We start from the raw sequence: 24,935 nt of genomic DNA on the forward strand, positions 1-24,935 counted from the left end.
CCTGAGTGACCTACAAAGAGACTTAGACTCCCACACAATAAGAATGGGAGACTTTAACACCCCACTGTCAACATTAGACAGATCAATGAGACAGAAAGTTAACAAGGATATGCAGGTATTGAACTCAGCTCTGCACCAAGCGGACCTAATAGACATCTACAGAACTCTCCATCCCAAATCAACAGAATATACATTCTTCTCAGCACCACATTGTACTTATTCCAAAATTGACCACATAGTTGGAAGTAAAGCTCTCCTCAGCAAATGTAAAAGAATAGAAATTATAACAAACTGTCTCTCAGATCACACTGCAATCAAACTAGAACTCAGGATTAAGAAACTCACTCAAAACCACTCAACTACATGGAAACTGAACAACCTGCTCCTGAATGACTACTGGGTATATAACGAAATGAAGGCAGAAATAAAGATGTTCTTTGAAACCAATGAGAACAAAGACACAACATACCAGAATCTCTGGGACACATTCAAAGCAGTGTGTAGAGGGAAATTTATAGCACTAAATGCCCACAAGAGAAAGCAGGAAAGATCAAAAGTTGACACCCTAACATCACAATTAAAAGAACTAGAAAAGCAAGAGCAAACACATTCAAAAGCTAGCAGAAGGCAAGAAATAACTAACATGAGAGCAGAACTGAAGGAAATAGAGACACAAAAAACCCTTCAAAAAATCAATGAATCCAGGAGCTGGTTTTTTTGAAAAGATCAACAAAATTGATAGACCGCTAGCAAGACTACTAAAAAAGAAAAGAGAGAAGAATCAAATAGACACAATAAATAATGAAAAAGGGGATATCATCACCAATCCCACAGAAATACAAACTACCATCAGAGAACACTATAAACACCTCTACGCAAATAAACTAGAAAATCTAGAAGAAATGGACAAATTCCTCGACACATACACCCTCCCAAGACTAAACCAGGAAGAAGCTGAATCTCTGAATAGACCAATAACAGGCTCTGAAATTGAGACAAAAATTAATAGCTTACCAACCAAAAAAAGTCCAGGACCAGATGGATTCACAGCTGAATTCTACCAGAGGTACAAAGAGGAGCTGGTACCATTCCTTCTGAAACTATTCAAATCAATAGAAAAAGAGGGAATCCTCCCTGATTCACTTTATGAGGCCAGCATCATCCTGATACCAAAGCCTGGCAGAGACACAACAAAAAAAGAGAATTTTAGACCAATATCCTTGATGAACATTGATGCAAAAATCCTCAATAAAATACTGGCAAACCGAATCCAGCAGCACATCAAAAAGCTTATCCACCATGATCAAGTGGGTTTCATCTCTGGGATGCAAAGCTGGTTCAACATATGCAAATCAATAAACGTAATCCAGCATATAAACAGAACCAAAGACAAAAACCACATGATTATCTCAATAGATGCAGAAAAGGCCTTTGACAAAATTCAACAACCTTCATGCTAAAAACTCTCAATAAATTAGGTATTGATGGGACATATCTCAAAATAGTAAGAGCTATCTATGACAAACCCACAGCCAATATCATACTGAATGGACAAAAACTGGAAGCATTCCCTTTGAAAACTGGCACAAGACAGGGATGCCCTCTCTCACCACTCCTATTCAACACAGTGTTGGAAGTTCTGGCCAGGGCAATCAGGCAGGAGAAGGAAATAAAGGGCATTCAATTACGAAAAGAGGAAGTCAAATTGTCCCTGTTTGCAGATGACATGATTGTATATCTAGAAAACCCCATCGTCTCAGCCCAAAATCTCCTTAAGCTGATAAGCAACTTCAGCAAAGTCTCAGGATACAAAATCAATGTATAAAAATCACAAGCATTCCTATACACCAATAACAGACAAACACAGAGCCAAATCATGAGTGAACTCCCATTCACAATTGCTTCAAAGAGAATAAAATACCTAGGAATCCAACTTACAAGAGATGGGAAGGACCTCTTCAAGGAGAACTACAAACCACTGCTCAACGAAATAAAAGAGGATACAAACAAATGGAAGAACATTCCATGCTCATGGGTAGGAAGAATCAATATCGTGAAAATGGCCATACTGCCCAAGGTAATTTATAGATTCAATGCCATCCCCATCAAGCTACCAATGACTTTCTTCACAGAATTGGAAAAAACTACTTTAAAGTTCATATGGAACCAAAAAAGAGCCCACATTGCCAAGTCAATCCTAAGCCAAAAGAACAAAGCTGGAGGCATCATGCTACCTGACTTCAAACTATACTACAAGGCTACAGTAACCAAAACAGCATGGTACTGGTACCAAAACAGAGATATACACCAATGGAACAGAACAGAGCCCTCAGAAATAATGCCGTATATCTACAACTATCTGAACTTTGACAAACCTAACAAAAACAAGAAATGGGGAAAGGATTCCCTATTTAATAAATGGTGCTGGGAAAACTGGCTAGCCATATGTAGAAAGCTGAAACTGGATCCCTTCCTTACACCTTATACAAAAATTAATTCAAAATGGATTAAAGACTTACATGTTAGACCTAAAACCATAAAAAACCCTAGAAGAAAACCTAGGCAATACCATTCAGGACATAGACATGGGCAAGGACTTCATGTCTAAAACACCAAAAGCAATGGCAACAAAAGCCAAAATTGACAAATGGGGTCTAATTGAACTAAAGCACTTCTGCACAGCAAAAGAAACTACCATCACAGTGAACAGGCAACCTACAAAATGGGAGAAAATTTTTGCAACCTACTCATCTGACAAAGGGCTAACATCCAGAATCTACAATGAACTCAAACAAATTTACAAGAAAAAACAACCCCATCAAAAAGCGGGCGAAGGATATGAACAGACACTTCTCAAAAGAAGACACTTATGCAGCCAAAAAACACATGAAAAAATGCTCATCATCACTGGCCATCGGAGAAATGCAAATCAAAACCACAATGAGATACCATCTCACACCAGTTAGAATGGCGGTCATTAAAAAGTCAGGAAACAACAGGTGCTGGAGAGGATGTGGAGAAATAGGAACACTTTTACACTGTTGGTGGAACTGTAAACTAGTTCAACCATTGTGGAAGTCGGTGTGGCGATTCCTCAGGGATCTAGAACTAGAAATACCATTTGACCCAGCCATCCCATTACTGGGTATATACCCAAAGGATTATAAATCATGCTGCTATGAAGACACATGCACATGTATGTTTACTGTGGCACTATTCACAATAGCAAAGACTTGGAACCGACCCAAATGTCCAACAATGAGAGACTGGATTAAGAAAATGTGGCACATATACACCATGGAATACTATGCAGCCATAAAAAATGATGAGTTCATGTCCTTTGTAGGGACATGGATGAAGCTGGAAACCGTCATTCTCAGCAAACTATCACAAGGACAAAAAACCAAACACCACATGTTCTCACTCATAGGTGGGAATTGAACAATGAGAACACATGGACACAGGAAGGGGAACATCACACACCGGGGACTGTTGTGGGGTGGGGGGAGGGGGGAGGGATAGCATTAGGAGATATACCTAATGCTAAATGACGAGTTAATGGGTGCAGCACACCAACATGGCACATGTATACATATGTAACTAACCTGCACGTTGTGCACATGTACCGTAAAACTTAAAGTATAATAATAATAAAATAAAATAAAATAAAAGAGAAAAGCATGTTTGTTAAGATAAAACAAAAAAAAAGAAAGAAAGAAAAGAAAGAAAAGAAAAGAAAGGAAAAGAAGAGAAAAGAACAGGGCTGGCAAGTTTTTGCTGCAAAGGGCTAGATAGTACATATTTCTGGTGTTGCAAGTCAAGAAGCAAAATTGAGGCTACTATGTAGGTATTTATAAAACTAGAGAAAAAATAAAGATCCACAACATTTTTACTGGTAAAATTCAAAATACAGTAATAATTGGAACTCAGAGAGAGAGTAGAAGGGTGATTGCCAGGGGCTAGGAGTGGGGGAATGCTGAGATGTTGATCAAAGGGTACAAACTTTTGCTTATAAGATGAGTAATTTCTGGGATTCTAGAGTACAGGATGTACTCTAGTTAATAGTTAATAGTACTGTATTGTAAACCTGAAATTTGCTGAGAATAGATCTCTAGTGTCACCACCACACACACAAAAAAATAGTTACTATGTGAGGTGATGGACATGTTAATTCGACTGTGGTAATCATTTCACAATGCATACCAAATCGTCATGTTGTATGTCTTCAATATATACAATTTTCATTTGTAAATTGTGCCTCAATAACGCCAGAAAAAAGTATTATTTTTAAAAAACTGCCACTTGTCCAGTTCTGATATAATATCAGAAAAGAATTTCCACAATTATCTGAAGAGGCCTTTATTTTCAACTATGTAAATCTGTGAGGCTAGATTTTCTTATATTTCCACAAAAACAATGTATCATAATAAATTGAATGTAGAAGCAGATAGCAGAATTCAGTTGTCTTTTATCAAGCCTAGACATTAAAGAGATTTGCAAAAATATAAAGTAATACCACTCTTTTCATTATGTACTTGTTTTATAAAATATAATTATTTTCACAAAAGTATTATTTATGTTAACATGCAACAGGTTTGTTGTTTTATTTTAAAATGTAATAATAAATATTTTTTACTTTTTCAATTTTACTTTTGAAATCAGCAAATACAGATAGATATAACTCAATAAGCAAAAAATCTTTGGGGTCCTCAATTACTTTTTTAAAAATTGTCATAAAACACACGTAACATAAAATTTACTCTTTTAACCATTTTTAGGTGTACAGTTCAACGGCATTAAGTCCATTTGCAGTGTTTTGCAACCATCACCACTATCCACTTCCAGAACTTTTAAATCATCTCAAGCTGAAGCTCTATACCCATTAAGCAGTAACTCCCCATTTCTCCCTCCTTCCAGCCTCTGGTAACCTCTATTCTACTTTCTGTCTCTACCCATTTTACTCAAATAAGTGAAATCATACAATATTTATTGTGCCTCATATGAGGTACAATATAAATGTCCTCATATAAGTGGAATCATACAATATTTGTCCTTTTGTGTCTGAGTTATTTCACTGAGCATAATGTTTTCAAGATTCATCCACTGTTGTCACATGTATCAGGATTTCATTCCTTTTAAAGGCTGGAAATACTCCATTGCATGTTTATGCTCCATTTTGTTGATCCATTGATCTGTTGATGGATATTTTTGTGATTAATGCTTTGTGAATATTGATGTACAAGTATCTATTTGAGTTTGTACTCTCAATTCTTTGGAATATATACCTACAAGTGGAATTTCTGGGTCGTATGGTAATTCCGTGTTTCACTTTTTTTTCCTTTTTTCCTTTTTTCCTTTTTTTTTTTTTTGAGACAGAGTCCTGCTTTGTTGCCCAGGCTGGAGTGCAATGGTATGATCTTGGCTCACTGTAACCTCCACCTTCTGGGCTCAGGTGATTCTCCTGCCTCAGCCTCCTGAGTAGCTGGGATTACAGGTGTGCACAACCATGCCTGGTTAATTTTGTATTTTTAGTAGAGATGGGGTTTCAACATGTTGGCAAGGCTGGTCTCGAACTCCTGACCTCAAGTAATCCACTCACCTCGGCCTCCCAAAGTGCTAGGATTACAGGCACGAGCCATCACGCCCAGCAGTGTTTCACTTTTTGAGATCCTTAACAACCCTCAAGAGTGCAAAAGGGTCTGAGATCAAAAACAAAACAAAACACCAAGTTGATGACTGCTTGTCTAGAATATCCCAGCCTTTCCTGGATAACTCCTCCCTGTTATTCAAGACAAAGGCAGTCATCATCTATTAAGAAAAACATCAGGTCCAGCCCCCAGGCTGTGTTATGAGGCCCTTCTAAATGTAGCCTATGCATATCCCCATCTTTGCTTTTAGTACACTATGTTTAATCATCTGTTACTTTCTCTCTTTCCTTCTCTAAACTGTTAAGTCTTTTGAGGGCAGGATTCAGATCTCTTCCATTTGGGTGTATGCCCAATGTCTATAACATAATAGTGTGTGAGAAATATTTGTGACATATTTTTGAAATAAATTAAAGATGATTATTTGAAATGGTCTATAGAAGGATTAATAAAGAGTTCACTTGTATGTCACCTCTGCATGTCTATTAATTGCTGCCTAGAGCACTGTGTTGAGGACTCTGAGGTCATGTGGAGGCTTAGCAAAAAGGAGTTCAGGGACTAATTAGCAATACAAATGGGGTATAAAAAGATCTATTCCTAGACTGGATGATAAGTACTCTTGTAGGTCTGATAGTCCACGTAAGGAAATGCAATTAGTTTGGTCTTCAAATTTCATCCTTAATACTTTAGTCTGAAAATATGATACCTCCTTTATTAGTAAATTAAATGTGACTATGTTGCAGAATCTACTGGATAAAAAACACAAATATTCCCTCTTTTGGCCTGTATTCCTACCCCTAGATCCTGCCAAGATCAAAAGTTCCTTATAGAATTCTTCATGGATTTTACAAATACATCAATGCAATTTTATTTTAATATGAGGCTGTTAGATTTGAAATGATTCACATTATTTTCATCTAGGGACTTATTTCTTATCCGAGTAGCATTCAGAGACAAATATATACAGCCCACATATTCATTTTATTTCTAGCTTCATGTCTTTGGTTTTATTTATAAAAAGCTATGCATTGTTCAAAAATGAAAACCATTTAAATATGTATTATTACATTATTTCTGCAATCTTCCTTTTACAAATGGATAGCTATTAGAGTTAAAGAAATTACTGGCTATGCTAAAATATTAATGATGCCTCAGAAGAAAGACTATCAAGATACATTTGAATGGGGAGTGTAGAATCGGTACAGCCTACATTGCAGATAAAGAAGGGAGACATCTATAAATGAAGTGCAAGTATGTTATTATCCATGTGGGTGACATAATATGTTGGTATAACAGAGTGTTAATTTACCAAACGATTGATCCACAGGTGTTGAAAGTGGACTGGAGATGTTACTCCCAGAGAGATCCTTTCATTTGTGCTGTTTAGATTTGTTCAAAAGATTACATGGTCTCAGAGAGTGAGCTATGTACTTATCTTAAACTCACTCTGAAAGGTGGTAGAAACAATAAATGAAGAATCGAGAATTTTATTAAAATCTAGGTGATACTACCTTCATAGAGGAAGAGAAAAAGAATTCCAATTCCTTGAGGATAAGAAAAGAGAACTATGAATACTTTTTTCATATGCATATACGTGGTGAAGTGATAAACAATGAATATAATGGAAAACAATTTTGCAACCGAGGCACAAAAAAATACTACCTTGAATTTTATAACACTTTTTGCTTTTTAAAAACATGCTCACATCCCACTATTTCATTTTATCCTCCCAAGAAACCTATGAGGTAAGTAAGGCAGGTTTCATTATCTCCGAGATTTATCTAACACTCTTACCACTACTATTTTATGATAGGGTTCATGGATCCAGAAGGAAGTATTACTTGTATTGTGGCTATATCTGGTGACTCACAAGAATTGGAGAAGTGAATTAACCAGGATGTATTACGAGGGCCAGGAACACTCTTTCTTACCTTGGGACACAGATTTCCCTTATAAATATTTTACCAGACAAATTAGCAATAAACACATATCTTTTATTATATTGAAATGAGGATGTCCAGACAAACCACTTTTGACCTTGCCAGGATGGGGGATAACTCTAAGAGGTGACCCAATGACTATGTGCAACCAAAGCTCTGGCCTGTCATTTCCATAGCCCCCTTCTTAACTGTTTCTTATATTTAACCCTTTCTCTGTCCTCTAGAAGATCAAGAATCAAAAGGAGAGGATAGGAACAGCTTAGGTGAGACAATGATATTATTAGAAATTGCCCTCTGTAGGCAGAGTTTGTGTTTCTATTTAATTTAAAACTAATATATATGTATTATTTATTTCATGCCTTATTAGACATAGAAATAAAAAACATTTACTGAATGCTAATAATGGACGAAGCAGAGTAAAGAAGTTTGCATATAAAAATACTATCTTAATCTCAACGTCTGCTCTGCTATTACAGTGGATAGAAACATTGCTCTAGGGGTGAAGTGGGGTGGGCAGGGCTCACAGACAGCTCTGTTTATCAGTGTAGCCCATGCACTTATTTTGGCTAACATTCTTCTGACTGTCTGATGACTGGTATCTGTTAAACATTTTATATATCATCCCTGACATAAGTATTTGCTATTTTATTCATTTTACCTTTCTATATGCTTGATGTTCTACATACACATGTGTGTATACTTGTATATATGAATATGTACATAGTATATATATATGTATATACAAATACTGTGTATACATATATTTTTTAAATAAACAGGTATCAAGAAGCATTTCACCTTGGCTTGTAGAACAGAGGGAACTGCTGTATCAAGGAGTCTCTGCTCCAGGGCCCACTAGGTTCTGAACTCCCACCACTCTCACCAAGTTCAGATCTTTTGGGCTAACATGGCTAAGAGTCTGTCTATACTGGGTCTTAGGAACAAATGCATTTCTTCCACTGATGGCTTACTTTTTTTTGAGGCAATAAGAATGTCATGTAATATTACATAATAAGACACACAAACTTAAATTTGACAGTATTCCAGGATGCCTCTTTCAATTGTTTTACCTGAAGCTGATCAAATCTGGCCAGAAGGTATTCTTTCTCCCCTTTTCCCCAATCAGCTCAGTCTAGCTAGGCAGTACTGTTTGGGGTCCATAGTGCAGCTAGCATTGGGTTCCATTTACCAACAATTTGCTGTTCAACAAGGAGAGGGGAAAGCCATCTCCTCGCCACTCTCTACCCCCACTATGCTTTATGGCCTAGTGATTAAGAGCCTGGCTTCTGGAACCACATGAGCCTGGAAGTAAACGTGTACTCAGCAGCACCTCCCCTTTCCCAGTGACCTTAAGAAAAGTAATTTACATGAGCCTTAGTTTCCTGATTCGTAAAATGAAGGTACTAAGGACCTTCCTCAGATGGTAGTTGTGAGAATTAAACGAGATATGCTTAGGGTACGGTGCACAGCATGCAATAAATTCTCAGTAAATGTTAGGAGGGCATATGTATTATTCTGTTCTCACATTGCTATGAAGAAATACCCCAGACTGGGTAATTCATAAAGGAAAGAGATTTAATTGACTCACAGTTCTGCATGGCTTCAGAGGCCTCAGGAAACTTACAACTATGGTGGAAGGCAAAGGAGAAGCAGGCACCTTCTTCACAGGGTGGCAGGACGGAGTGAGTGCAAGCAGGGGAAACGCCAGATGCTTATAAAACCATCAGATCTTGTGAGACTCACTCATTATCATGAGAACAGCAGCATGGGGGAAACCACCCCCGTGATCCAATCACCTCCACCTGGTCCCACCCTTGGTGATTATGGGACTTACAATTCAAGGCTAGATTTGGGTAGAGACAGAGAGCCAAGCCATATCAGCATATTTATACAGTTACAAAACTGTATATATGAACTTGACAACAGGTAACTTTATGAGAGGTGAGATATACTAGTCTAAAAGCCTTATTTTCTGAGACCTTTACTAATGACCTTTACAGACAGAGCCCAATACTGACTTCTGAAGCTACATTAAAATACAATGTTGCCCTTTTATGCCTTATATAATTATTTCTTACTTCTGTTCTACTATTGTACCTCACACTCACCTGTGATTATTTTGTCCTGTCCATCATTTTGCTCTGTTTCAGAGAAGGGACACCTGAGAACAATAATAATTTAATTAGTATTAGCTGCTGCTACTCTAGTTCCTTATTCCATGGAAACGTTCTTCCATTGACGGCCTAGGACTTTCACAGTGCCAATAAAAAAAATTTTTTCAGTCCTGATTTTCCTGGATCTTCCTTCAATCTTCTCCACTGAACCCAGCTGACTTCTTGATACTTTCCCTTTCCAAGATGCTGCTCATGGCTAATTATCCTCCTATCTCTCTGAAGGTTTCTTCTCCTTCTGCTCTGCCCAACCACCAAACATTGATATTCCCACTGGGCAGCAACTTAAAAGAAAGGAATTTCTCTACGTGTTGATGTAGAAAGATTTCCAAAATATCTAATGAAATTTTAAAAACATCCTGACTTATAATTTGCTATCTAATGTGGTTTGGCTCTGTGTTCCCACCCAAACCTCATCTTAAATTGTACTCCCATAATTCCCATGTGTTGTAGGAGGAATCTGGTGAGAGATAATTTGAATCATGGGGGTGGTTTCCCCCATACTGCTCTCATGGTAGTGAATAAGTCTCACAAGATCTGATGGTTTTTATCAGGGGTTTCTGCTTTTGCTTCCTCCTCATTTTCTCTTGCTGCCACCATGTAAGAAGTGTCTTTGGCCTCCCACCATTCTGAGGTGATTCTGAGGCCTCCCCAGCCATGTGGAACTGTAAGTCCAATTAAACCTCTTTTTCTTCCCAGTCTCGGATACGTCTTTATCAGCAGCATGAAAATGGACTAACACACTATCTTACTCTATTTTCAAGTATTCTTACAATGGATATGTGTATTAGTTTCCTTGGACTGCCGTGGCAAAGTATTGAAAACTGGGTGGTTCAAAGCAGTAGAAATTTATTCTCTCACAGTTCTAGAGGCTAGAAATCCAAAATAAAGTTGTTGGCAGGGTTGGTTCCCTTTTGGAGGCTCTGAGGGAGAATCTGCCCCTTGCCTCTTCCTAGCTTCTTGTCCTTGCTGAAAATTCTTGGCATCCCTTGGTTTGTACATGCATCACTCCAGTTTCTGCCCCTGTTGTCACATGACATTCCTTCTATGTGTCTCTGTCCTTGCATGGTATCCCTCTCTCTGTGTCCAAATTTCCCTCCCTATAATGAAGACACCAATCATTGAATTAGGACCGACCCTTCCTATTCCAGGATGATCTCATCTTAACTGGCTTACATCTGTAAAGACCCTATTCCCAAATAAGGTCACATTCACAGGATCCAGACATTAGAACTTCAACATATCTTTTTGAGCAACACAATTTAACCCATAACACTATGCTTTACTTTTTTTTCTTTCAAACAGGGTCTCACTCTGTGGCCCAGGCTGGAGTGCACTGGTGCGATCTCAGCTCACAGCAACCTCTATCTCCTGGGCTCAAGGGATCCTCCCACCTCAGCCTTCGAAGTAGCTGGGACTACAGCCTCATGCCACCATGCTTGACTAATTTTTGTATTTTTTTTTTTTGTAGAGACAAAGTCTCATTATGTTGCCTAGGCTGTTCTTGAGTGCCTGAGCTCAAGGTATGTCTGCCCACTTGAGCCTCCCAAAGTCCTGGGATTACAGGCATGAGCCACCACTTTACTTTTAATTATTTTTAAATGTTAACAAAAGTAATCTGAGCAGTAGACTTTTTCTTTTTTTTTTTTTTTTTTTTTTGAGACAGAGTCTTGCTTTGTCACCTAGGCTGGAGTGCAGTGGCACAATCATGGCTCACTGCAACCTCTGCCCTGGGTTCAAGCAATTCTTGTGCCTCAGCCTCCTGAGTAGCTGGGACTACAGGCATGTACCCCCACGACTGGCTAATTTTTGTAGTTTTTGGTAGAGACGAGGTTTCACCATGTCGGCCAGGCTGGTCTCGAACTCCTGGCCTCAAGTGATCTACCTGCCTCAGCTTCCCAAAGTGCTGGGCTTACAGGCATGAGCCACTGCATCCAGCCCTGAGCAGTAGACTTCTATAAGCCATTTTCTTTTCTTCTCTATGTCTTATGTATTTTTCTTAATCTAACAAATACTACACATGCACACAAATAGAGATAAGCTATATAGATACCAACACACACACATATATTTACATATTACATAATAATTAGTACCTTGTAACCTTCTGCCCTTGGGTCATCAGAGTCTCTACCCTGGAGTCATTGTTCCTCTCTATGCATTTTGTGTTATGGCTAGAAGTCTGAGATCAGGGTGCAGGAATGGTCAGGCGCTGGTGAGAGCCCTCTTCTGGGTTGCAGATGGCCAACTTCTCCTTGAACCCTTGTATTGTGGAAAGAGAGCAAGAGCACTCTCTGGGGTCTTTTCTATAAGGGCACTAATCCCATTCATGAGGGCTCCACTTTCATGACTTAATTTCTTTCCAAAGGCTCCACCTCCAAATACCATCACATTGTGGGTTAGGATTTCAACATATAAATTGGTGGGGGGTGGGTATGACACAAATATTCAGTCCATTGCAGTGACTATATTTGGCAATAGAGCCTTTAAGGAGGTAATTACGTTTAACTGACCTAATCCAATATGACTGGTGTTCTTATAAGAAGAGAGAGAGAGACAGAGAGAGAGAAAGGATATGAGGGATGCTCACACACAAAGAAAAGGCCTTGTGAGAACAAAGAGAGAAGGTAGCTGTCTGCAGGCCAAGGAGAGAGACCTCAGAAGAAACCAACCCTGCAGGCACCTTGATCTTCCAGCCTCCAAAGAAAATACACTTCTGCTGTTTAAGCCACTAACCCTGTGCTATTTCATCATGGCAGCCCTAGCACAGTTTCATTATTCTCATGAGTTTATCTCCCGCTCTGTGCTGAAGAATCCCAAATCAACATTTCTAATCCTGATCTTTCGACATCTTCAGATGTGCTTCCTGTTGATGTATCACTTAATGTGCCCACAACAAAATTATCACTGGCTTTTTCTACTCTGACCCCATCTTGCATTTAAATACCATTTTGGGCTGGGTGTGGTGGCTCACACCTGTAATCCCAGCACTTTGGGAGGATGAAGCGGGTGGAATGCTTGAGGCCAGGAGTTCGAGACCAGCCTGGCCAACATGGTGAAAGCCTGTCTCTACTAAAAATACAAAAATTAGCTGGGCGTGGTGGCACCCATGTGTAATCCCAGCTGCTCAGGAGGTTGACGCACGAGAATTGTTTGAGCCTGGGAGACGGAGGTTGCAGTGAGTCAAGATCGCACCACCGCACTCCAGCCTGGGCGACAGAGCAAGACTCCATCTCAAAAAAATAAAAAATAAATACCACTCTATCCAAAGAAGTTCAAGCCAGAAATCTGGGAGTGCCCCCTCTCCCTCAACCCTCACATCCAATCAATCAACACCCTGCTGATTCTGTCTCATTAATATCCCTCATTCCAAGTCCTCCTCTCCATCCTACTGCCATTGCTTTCATCCAGTCACTTCTTATTTCTTACCTGTGCCACTGGAATAGCCTGCTAATTGGTCCCCCTGCATCCAATCTTGACCCCTTAAATCCATCACTTCCAAGGTGGCTAGAGTTATTTATATAAAAGACAAGTTGGATTATGTTGCTCTGCTGCTTAAAACCCTTGCCTCCCCTTCCCTCTAGTTTCTCAACCTGCACACAAGACCCCCATCACCTGCCCTATCCATCCTTTCAGCTTTATCTCTTGCCTCTCCTTGCATTTAATGCTACACTAGTAACATGAAACTGCTTGCAGATACTGGGCTCACACATCTGTTCCTCTGGTGCACCAGTCTTCCTGCCAGGAATGCCCTTTCTTCCCCTGCCTAACTTTCACCAACCTTCAAGATGCATTCCAGGTGTATCATGTCCTCCATAAAGTCTTGCTGAATCCCAGATGAGGTAAAGTGTTCTTTGTATATGTGACCAGGATGCCCTGAACACACGCATATATTAAATGTCAAATTATGTGTCTGTCTCTCTGGCTGTAAGCACCTGAGAGATAAATATCACGTATTTTAAACCATGTATCTATCTGTTGTGCCTAGCCCAGTCCCTGGCATAAAGTAGTAAAGAAAAGCTGGCAGAATGAACAAAGGAAGGCATGTATCTTACTATTCAAGAATTTCCACAAACTGTTATTTAACAAGGGAATAATAAATAACTATTTGGCGGTAATTTAATACAATCTCAAAACACTTATTTTGTATAGACCAGGGTTTCTCAACCTTGGCACTACTGCCATTTGGGCTGGGTAGGTCTTTGTTGTGGGAGTTGTCCTGCTCATCACAGGCCTTTACCCACTGGATGCCAGTAGCTCCCTACCCCCTATTTGTGACAATAAAAAGTCTCCAAACATCGCCAGATGTCCCTGGACAGGAAGGGGAGGGCTGTCGGGAGGTGGAGAGCAGTGAGATTGCCCACTGGTCTAGACAAACGCTCAATGTTGATTTTGAATTTCATAACACCTGTGAAGACAGGGACTCCCATAACATTTCATTTGGTCCCTCAGGATATCAATTATTCTTTCTAAGAACAAATCTGCCATAGTTCATCATGTTTTTAAAGGCATTTAGATCAACTATATATAAAACTTTTAAGAGTTTTTCTAATATAATTACCTTGTAAAAAGATGAGATCATGTAACTTATTGTTCCATAAAAATATAGGGTTGTTAAAAAAAAAAAAATATATATATATATATATATATATATGTTGATTCTTATTTGGAAAGGAAAGAGGCCTATAATTTAATTCAACAGCTGCTCTCTGGCTGGGAGAGAGGGAGGGAGTGAAGGTGCGTGAGGGAGGAAGAAGGAAAAGGAGAAAGAAGGAGGGAGGTTGCTTTAAAACAAATTTGGGGGATAGCATTAGGAGATATACCTAATGCTAAATGACGAGTTAATGGGTGCAGCACACCAACATGGCACATGTATACATATGTAACAAACCTGCACGTTGTGCACACGTACCCTAGAACTTAAAGTATAATAATAATAATTAATTTTTTAAAAAAAGATGCAAATTCTCAGACTCAACCCCTAGACTGCACAATTGAAGTCTCCAGGGGTGTGGCTCAGCAATCTGCATTTTAACAAGCTCTCCAGATGATTCCTGTAACTGCTAAAGTTCGAGGACCACAGGTGTTATGCATGGGTATGTTGCAGTGGAGCTGGAAAGGAATTGCTGTTAAGTATTTCAGCTGGGCATAGTGGCTCAAAACTGTGATCCCAGTATTTTGGGAGGCTAAGGTGGGAGGATTGTTTGAACCAGAAGTTCGAGGCCAGCTTGGGCAACATGGCAAGACCCCCCCCCCGTCTCTAAAAACATTATTTTAAAAAAAAAATAACAGACAATAGTGTGTGGGGTGGGCCTGGTGGCTCATGCCTATAATTTTAGCACTTTGGGAGGCCAAGGCAGGAGGACTGCTTGAGCTCAGGAGTTCAAGATCAACTTGGGCTGCACAGTGAGACCTTGTCTCCACAAAAAATAAACAAAATTAGCCGCCATGGTGGTACACACCTCTGGTCCTCCAGTCAAGAGGCTGAGGTGGGAGGATCGCTTGAGCCCCAGAAGTTAAGGCTACAGTGAGCTATGAGCCATTATTGTGCCACCGCACTCCAGCCTGGGTGTCAGAGTGAGAGCTTGTCTCTAAAAAAAAAAAAGAACAATAGTGTGTGGAAGAAGCTCACTGTTCTAGGGAAGCACAGAGTGCGAGGCAACCCTGTTACCCCATGGAGAGGACTTTCCACAGCCTATTTCTTTGCACTGAGTGTCTGATTCCACTCTTAGGATGAAATGTGCAGTCTTCTTGATCCAATATTGTATTGATTTGAAGTATCCATTCCAAGTGGCTTCCAGAATGAAGTAAAAGGACTCAAATTAAAAAAAAAAAAACAAATTTGGTGGGCTTTTTATGTCAACTCCTCATTCCCTTTGCTCTCTGCATGATTCTAACCCACTGTTATTGATCAGCATTGTCAACATTAAACAAAGAACAGTGAATTCTATTACACAGCCTGGTCAGACAAAGGTCAATCCAACATTCTGGTTGACAGAGTTTCCAATGTTCAAAGTACTCTACTATTAATAAATACACCAAACATAAAAAACTATACTAAAATATTTTGGAAATTCTTTGAGGAAAAGGGAGCACCCCCTATGTGCTAGGAACTATAAATATTTTTTAATGAGCCACACAGGCATCATCTCTAGTGTTTGAAAATATATGGTCTAGTTGGGGGTTATAAAAAGGAATGAAATAGTCACACTGATGGGAGTATAATTACAAACTGAATAAATGCTATGCAGAAAAGTATTCAAGGAACATGACCTAGACTTGAGAGAATCACACTGGGGTTGAGATCTGAAGAAGGAATCTAAGGCACTGACTAAAGCAGAAAGAAGAAGGGCAGCTGCAGGGGGCAGGGACAGCATGAGTAGATGCCCTGGGCTAGAGGGAGCATACCTGGGAACTGAAGAAGAAAAGAGGGGAGCTAAGGAACTGGCAAGGTGGAACAGGGCCTGGTGGGTCATGCTGACTTGGAAGGAAGGGCCGTGCACTGACATACAGTTTAATAAACCATTCTGGGCCAGGCACGGTGGCTCACGCCTGTAATCCCAGCACTTTGGGAGGCTGAGGTGGGCAGATCATGAGGTCAGGAGATCAAGACCATCCTGGCTAACATGGTGAAACCCCATCTCTACTAAAAATACCAAAAAAAATTAGCTGGGCATGGTGGCAGATGCCTATAGTCCCAGCTACTTGGGAGGCTGAGGCAGGAGAATGGCGTGAACTCGAGAGCAGGAGGCGGAGCTTCCAGTGAGCCAAGATCATGCCACTGCACTCCAGCCTGTGTGACAAAGTGAGACTCTGTCTCAAAAAAAAAAAAAAAAAAGAAACAAACAAAGAAACCATTCTGTGCCAGTCACAGTGGTTCATGCCTATAATCCCAGCACTTTTGGAGGCTGAGGCAGGTGAATATTTTGAGCCCAGGAGATTGAGACCAGCCTGGGCAACGTGGTGAAACCCCAATTCTACCAGAGAAATACAAAAGTTAGCATAGTGACGCATGCCTGTAGTTCCAGCTACTCAGGAGGCTGAGGTAGAAGGATTGCTTGAACCCAGGAGGTCGAGGCTGCAGTGAGCCATGATAGTGCCACTGCACTCCAGCCTGGGTGACAGAGCAAGACCCTGTGAAAGAAATAAGAAAAGAAAGGAAAGGAAGGGAAGGGAAGGGAGGGGAGGGGAGGGGAGGGGAGGGGAAGGGAAGGAAAGGGAAGGGAAGGGAAGAAGGAAAGGGAAGGGAAGGGAAGGGAAGGGAAGGGAAAAAGGAAAGGAAAGGAAAGGCAGACAGACAAAGAAAGCAAGAAAGCAAGAAAGAAAGAAAGAAAGGCAAAGGGAGGGAGAGAGAGAAAGAGAGAGAGTGAGAAAGAAAAAGAAAGAAAGAGGAGAGAGAAAGAAAGAGAAAAGAAGGAAGGAAGGAAGAGAGGGAGGGAACCATTCTGGCTATGTTGTGGAGAAGGAATTGATAAAGCAGGTCAGAGGGTATATTAGTCTGTTTTCACACTGCTGATACAGACATACCTAAGACTGGCTGATTTACAAAAGAAAGAGAGATTTAATGGACTTACAGTTCCACATGGCTGGGGAGGCCTCACAATCATGGCAGAAGGCAAGGAGGAGCAAGTCACATCTTATATGGAAGCCAGCAGGCAAAAAGAGAGCTTCTGCAGGGAAACTCTGCCTTATAAAACCATCAGATCTCATGACTTATTCACTCTCATGAGAACAGCACGGGAAAGACCTGCCCCCATTATTCAATTACCTCTCACCAGGTCCCTCCCACAACAAGTGGAAATTCAAGATGAGATTTGGATGAGGACACAGCCAAACCATATCAGAGGGGATGCAGGGATACTTTAGCATCTTACTCATCAAGGTCCTCGTTGTTCTTTTCAAGCATAGGCAAAAGATGTCCTGTTCTATAACATGAATGAACCTTGAAAACACTATGTTAAGTCGAAGAAGCCAGCCACAAAAGACCACCTATTGCATGATTTCATTGATATGAAATATCCAAAGAGGCAAATCCTTGGAGACAGAAACTAGATTAGTGGTTGCCAGGGGCTGAGATGAGGGGGGAAAGGGTAGTGAAGATGAAAAAATTCTAGAATTAGACAGTGGTGATGACTGCACAGCTTTGTTAATATTCTGAAAGCCAATGAGTTGAACACTTTACAAGAGTGATTTTTGCAACATGTGAATTACATCTCAATAAAGCTGTTAGCAAAAAGGAAACACTCTTATTATAGAAGAAAATGATTTCTAAATTTCCTAAGTAAACGCAAGGTTAAGAGTTAACTTCTAGAATTTTTAATTTTAGTCATGTTTTTAAAAATGCTCCTTGCATTCTAAAATTTAATTAGCTGAAATTTAAGAATATTGATATAGAGGCATTTTTAAGTTCTTATTCTTTTAAATCCCCTACTCAGAGAAGCATGAAATTTAGGCATTTAAACAAGAACAGCTGATCAGTGATTGAGAGAGAGCTTCCTAATTTCCAAATCATAGTTTTTGTTAAGAAAAGTAAAATCATTGGCCACCGGGAATTAGATCAATTGGAATTTTACTATTTTGTCAATTCAGTCAAATAGAGGATTTTAACTTTTAGCACGATTTTCATTTTCTACCCAGACAACCACTCAGCAGATATGTGATATCAATCTTGATTTCTAACTTCAGCTTCTTGTATGAATTTAATGGGGAAGTAATTGTGCAAGAATGTGTTTTAAAACACAAATCTCAACTGTCTTGTTATTACATTTACAGCTGATTACCATATCAATTGCCTTTATGTTATGCTAGAACATAACTAACACTGTTCTTTCATGGAATACAGTATAGTACAGTACAGGATTACAGGATATATGGAACAGCCTCTAAGAACTATGACCCTGCCTTAGATTTATTTTTGAACTCAGATTTGTATTAAACTTATTATCTACAACAAAAGAACTGTGTCCAGACTCTTTTTGGTGTAACAGAAAATCAAACACAACACAAATTAACTGAAAACAAAAATTTTTGGCCTACTTAACAACAAAGTTTAGTGGTGGTGCTATCCTCAGGCACAGCTGAAGATAGCACATTCAGAAGATCCCACGTTCAGGGATCTCAGGTCTCTTTTTTGCTACGTTGGTTTCATTTTCAGGCTCAAGATTATCACTCTGGTTGGTAAAATGAAAGCATCAGCTCTTCTCTCCCTCACCCTCTATTCTTAATGAGAGACTCACAGTGTCTCACGACTTCTAATTCAGCCATGTGCTTAATCATGAACCAATTACAATGGCCGGGAGAATAGGCCATGCTGATTGACTTGGGCCTTGGTCACATGTTCATCTTGGGATACAAATCCCACTGGAGCAGACAGATTGAGAGTAGTGGGGGAATGGATCCCTATAAGAAAAGCAGATATTTTTGCTAGAAGAAAGGAGAGTGGAGGCTGGCAGAGAAAACAACAAATGTCCACAGAAACTTCCAATTAAAAGACAGGCCAATAGCCAGGGCAATGGAAGGCGTACTGACAAGCGAGCTGGGGATGCGCAGTGAACCCTTCTTGAGGTATCTTCCCAGAAAATTACCCTTCTCTGAGACTTTCTCAATTTGCCTCATGAGTTGAAACACACACCTTCCACTTGTCCCTCTAAAGCCACTCTAGAAACACTGCTTTCTGTCCCAAGAGGCTGACTTGAATGGATGAAAGCAATAGGTTTTGGACGCTCTAGCATCTGGTTGGGTTTGGTGAGTGAGTAACACTGGCAGCAGAGGGAGGGAGGAACGAGGTCCCTTCACCCCTTAACCAACCATCATGACTCTTCTCATGACCTCCCTCTCTGTTGGAGCTTTCCTTCCTGGCTCTGGTAACTGCTCTGTTATAATACCTGGGGTGCTACACCATTCTTTGTGGGTTTCCCTAAACATTGCCAACAGCTTTGAAAATAATCCTTTCATTAAACCCTCTTTGAATTATTGTAATTTGAGTGCACCATCTGTTTCCTGATGGGACTCTGACAGATATGTATATTGACAGTGGCAGCCATAGTTTTATTGCATGGTCACACTATATATATTATCTCTAATTCTCACATTTATCCTGTGAGATAGGTACTACCACTCCTTATCTCACAGATGAGGAAACTGAGACTCATCATCTCTGGCCTGAACCATGACTTCTACTCTCGCCCTCTTACAGTTTTTCTCCACACAGCAGCCCAAATATTTGTTCTACAGATCTGCCAAGGCTATTCTGAGGAGCCAATGAAATAATAAGCAAAAGCACCTTAGTGGAGAACCTTACAAGCATAATATACTAGCTGTATTAGTCCATTCTCATGCTGCAATCAAGAGGTACCCAAGACTGGGTAATTTATAAAGGAAAGAGGTTTAATTGACTCACAGTTCTGCAGGGCTGGGGAAGCCTCAGGAAACTTACAATCATGGTGGAAGGGGAAGCAAACCTTCTTCACATGGTGGCAGCAAGCAGAAGTGCAGGGCGAAGGAGGAGGAAAACCCCTTATAAAACCATTAGATCTTATGAGAACTCACTCATTATAAGAAGAACAGCATGGAGGTAACCACCCCCATGATGCATCTACCTCCCACCAGGTGCCTCTCACAACACATGTGGATTATAGGAACTAGAATTCAAGATGAGATTTGGGTGGGGACACACCAAACCATATCACTAGCTCATTGAATTGATAAGTAGATCCTCTGGTCACTTTCAGAATTAGATTCCTTGTAGTTGGAAGATTTGGAGGAGATGCTGGATAAATTGAGTCTAGGGATTCAGTCCCTCTGGACTTGACTCAGCCATCATCTCCAGAAAGTCTTCATGATACTTCAAGAGGGGTGAGGTACTCACTCTGTGTTCCTGTAGTATTTATACCTAGCATAGCACGTAGCCCATACAGTGTTATTATATGCTTTCTCTTCCCAATCCCACATTCTACTCTATTATAATTGTTCATTTACACCTACCTCTTGCTAGACTACAAATTTCTAGAAGGCAAGAGCTATATCTATTATTTCTGTATTCCTAGTGCCTGACACACATCTGTAGATAAGTGCCAAATACATGTCTGTTGAATGAATAACAATATTGTTCTTAATGAAAAATCATGCCAAAAAGTTCCCTTTTTTTGGGAAGGGAAAATTTCCCAAAAAGATGGGCTCTCAAGAACAATAGCAAGGAGATTCCCTCAACAGTAAAAGATGGACTGTGATTATAGACATTACATTCCAGCTCTAAATTCTTTGATTCTGGATAATAGGGGTATAAACTAATCAGGAAGTCAATTTCTCACAAGGGTATGCATTAATAAATCTTAAACTACCGTATGTAGTTTCTACTAGCAGTAATCAAATAACATATTGCAGATAATAAGAACCAGATTTCTCATGTTGGAATGAGACTTTAGTGAAAGACTTTAGTGAAAAAACTGATATAATTCAAATAGCATATTTAATTTTGCTAATAGTATCCTACCAATGTTAATTTCCTGGTTCTGATTATTGTACTATGGTAATGTAAGATGTTAACATTAAGGGAAGATGGTTGAGGGGTAATGAAATAGTTTTTTACTATTTTCTGAACTTGTTTGTAAATCTCCAATTAGTTCAAAACAAAAGTGTCCTATGGCACATTCTTTTGAGGCCATACTCTTAGAATCTATAACATAGGTGATGAAATTTTAACAAGACATTCACTGGGGTGTAACACCGTAATGCATTACTCCAGATCACAGAATTTTAGAGTTTGGATGTAATCTTGGCAGTCACAGTCCATCATGCTGCTCTTGATGGAATCTCCTTGGTATTGTACTTGACAGCCTAAGGCCTTTGCTGGGACATCTCCGGGGACAGCAGTGTACCATTGCCCCTAAAATGATTGCTGGAAGAAGAGCTTGAATTGCTAGAAACATCTTTCTCCTCTCTCCATCAAGCTGAAATCTGCCTCTAGTTGACTCTCTGGGCCACTTGGCGACCTTTCAAATACATGAAGAGAGTTGGCACCATCCCTTCTGTGGTTTTTCTCCTTCAAGCAAAACAACCCAGTGCCTTTCCATATGACATCATGATGTTTTCTTTCTTTTTTTTTTAAGTTAAGATCATAGTTCAGGACATCATGATGTTTTTTAATAGAAGCTTCAATGCCTTGATGCAGCACTGTCCAAACTTTTTTCTTCAGCCACAGAACTCTTTGTCAAAGAAATTCTCATGTGGAATCAGCTTGTAAAACAGATAAAAATAAAATTTATCTACTGGAAGTAGCGGGTGAGGGGCCCCCAAGGACTATTTGATTCCCCCACCCTTTCCCTTCTTTAGTGGTCCTTGAAGTACAACCTTAGAACCTTCAAAATTTCCCAGAATATAATTAAACAAACCTTGATATCTTAAACCAAAAGTACAAAAGGACATGGGAACCTTATAACCCAAAGCAGGTTTGTGGCAGAAATGCTTTTCAGTACATGCCTTTACTGTCCCAAATAATACCATGTGGATAATTCCTGATGTGGCCGTTTGTCTGGCCATACATTTGATGATTGTAACAACTAAGAGGTAAGACTTGACTTTATATGTATCCATTCAAGAACCATATAGTATTGATGTTAGGCCATTTCATCTTACAGATGAGAAAACAGAGGCAGGGAGGTAAACCAAAGTCAATAGAAGTAGCAGAGCTGGGCTTTTAACCCTGATCTCTCTGACTCCAAAGCCACGTCCTTAACCACTGTGCTGTCCTGTCTTTTTTTTTTTTCAAGACAGAGTCTTGCTGTGTTGCCCAGGCTGGAGTGCAGTGGTCCGATCTCAGCTCACTGCAACTTCCGCCTCCCAGATTCAAGCAATTCTCCTGCCTCAGCCTCCATAGCAGCTGGGATTACAGGTGTGCACCAGCACACCCAGCTAATTTTTGTATTTTTAGTAGAGATGGGGTCTCACCATGTTGACCAGGCTGGCCTCGAACTCCTGACCTCAGGTGATCCACCTGCCTTGGCCTCCCAAAGTGCTGGGATTACAGGCATGAGCCACTGTGCCCAGCCAATCTCCTGTCTTTTGAAAGTAGAAAAATGCAAGGATTATGGAACCTCAGCCCTCTCACTTCACGTTCTTACCTCTACACCTGGAAATCATCCCAGAAGTGATTCATTAGGGAATTCATTGTAAACAGTCTGTCCCTGACATCAATCCTCTACAAATATAACACATATCCCTTCCCTCAGATACAGCTAAGTTTTCATTTCAACAATATCACCTTTAGCCAGGTGTGGTAGTACATGCTTATAGTGTCAGCTACTTGGGAGGCTGAGGAAGGAAGATAGCTTGAGCCCAGAAGTTCAGGGTTACAGTGAGCTATGATCACACCACTGCACTCCAGCCTGGGCAACAGAGGGAGACCTTGTCTTTAAAAAAATAAACAAATAAAAGCAAAAAAATAAACAGCATCACTGGAAACAAATTTCTCTGAGGTCCTGAGGATTAAACATTCTTAACATGGAATGCTTGCACATGGGGAAGGGTCATGTGCAAGCAGCCTCAGGCTAATGCCCAGTAAAGCAGAAGTTTGCACTAAGCCAGAGCTTCACTGTGGCTCTGACCTATGGCTGCTCTTTCCGTTTATGCACGGCAGATGCTTGGTGAGCCTCAGTCAGCAGCGTCTCTCCTCTCCAACCAAATGCTGGGCTGGGGGTCATTTGTTGTGACTGCCTGTCCCGCACCTAACCTCTGTTTGCTGATAATGGCACATTTCCTATCTGTGGGATCCCCCACCCCCACTTTACTCTCTATAATTTGGGTGAGCAGACCCCACTTTCCTACCTCTCCCCCATGGGCAGACACCTGACTGAGCCTGGATCATCAGTGTATTCCCAGTTCCATATGATCCAAGCCAGACCAATGAGATGATGAGACTCAACATCAGGACATTTGTTGGAACCACTGGAGAAGATAATCTCTCTTTTCCCTAGGGCTTCTTAGTTGTGCTGTTTTAAATATAGCAGCCATATTGTCACTGGGAGAGAATCAGCTAGAGGTCGAAGCCAAGGAAAAGAAAGCAAAGCCAAAAGATGAAAAGAGATATTATAGATTTCAGAAAGCTTCACTTCAAGCTCTACATCCAACTGTGCTAGGGGTGGATCCTTTACATTTATGTGAACTCATAAATTCCCTTTGTTTTTTAAGTAGCTCAAGTTGAAAGCAAGTCCTCCAAATTCTGTATAGAGTTTCTCTTACTTATCCTCTATAAAATTATAACCCTCACCACACCCTGGCACTCCCTAAGTTCCTTCCCTCATTTATTATTTTTTTTCAAAGCACTTATCCCATCTAACACATTATATATTTTTGTTAATTATCTTATTTACTTTCTGCCTCACCAAACTAAAATGTAAACTCCATGAAGGCAGAGATATTTTGTCTATTTGTTCATAGCTATACCTGAAATGGTGGCTGGAACATAGTAGGTACTCAAGAGATATTTACGAAATGAGTAAATGAGATAACTTGCAACCGAAAGAGTTGTAACTAATTCACTTGGTTTACATAAAAATAATTCTTGCCCGTTGTAGAAACAGCCTGGCTTAAAAAGTCAGAATAGAAACTCTTCCTGTCGCTTAACATGAAGCAATGTCTTCTCCAATTTCAAATATTCACTCAATAATCATGTATTGAGCACCCACCTATGGTAGTTACTATACTAAGCACAAAGATAAAGAAAACACAGTCCCTGCCATCCAGTAGCTCTCAGTTTGGTACCACTAGTCTCATGCAACAGCAAGTAAATGTGCATGACAGAACAGCCAGCTTGGACGTATAGACGTCAAAGGAAGCCAGGGAGTGCTGACTGTGTGTGTGTGTGTGTGTGTGTGTGTGTGTCTGTCTATCTGTCTGTCTGTCTGTCTCTCTTTCCCTTCTCTCTCCAAGTTTACAGGTTGACCTGAAAACTCAGAGTGAGGAGTCACAAATGTCTCAGTCTAGATACTGGCTAGACAAACTAGAAAGACGGAGATACATCTCAAATGAAAAGAGAGAGGTGAAAGGAAAAACTAAATTTCAGTTTCAGTTTAGGTGGCAAATAAGCCCATGAAAGATGTGTTCATGTGAAAGCGGTAAAGCAGACAGAATACCTGCTAAATCAGTCCCTCTGGACTGTATTGAAGCTATTTCTCATAATTTGA

General features: G+C 40.1%; 1 long non-coding RNA gene across 2 annotated transcripts in view, besides 2 other annotated features; it reads right to left on the bottom strand.

Moving 5' to 3' along the window:
* The window catches only part of LOC105377114 (uncharacterized), a 144,240-nt gene that overhangs the window by 111,284 nt on the left and 8,021 nt on the right, over positions 1–24,935 (bottom strand). The window lies entirely within an intron of this gene.
* Positions 22,659–22,862: a silencer, noted in NCBI's record as "fragment chr3:61404092-61404295 (GRCh37/hg19 assembly coordinates)". NCBI's record gives its function as "represses an EF-1alpha promoter that drives an FKBP-Casp9 reporter gene in an ReSE screen in HepG2 liver carcinoma cells {active_cell/tissue: HepG2}" and the evidence as "EXISTENCE:reporter gene assay evidence [ECO:0000049][PMID:32094911]".
* Positions 24,797–24,846: a silencer, noted in NCBI's record as "silent region_14496". NCBI's record gives its function as "represses an Ori minimal core promoter by ATAC-STARR-seq in GM12878 lymphoblastoid cells {active_cell/tissue: GM12878}" and the evidence as "EXISTENCE:reporter gene assay evidence [ECO:0000049][PMID:35858748]".

Source organism: Homo sapiens, chromosome 3 (genome assembly GCF_000001405.40).
Source record: "Homo sapiens chromosome 3, GRCh38.p14 Primary Assembly".
Classification (NCBI taxonomy): domain Eukaryota; kingdom Metazoa; phylum Chordata; class Mammalia; order Primates; family Hominidae; genus Homo; species Homo sapiens.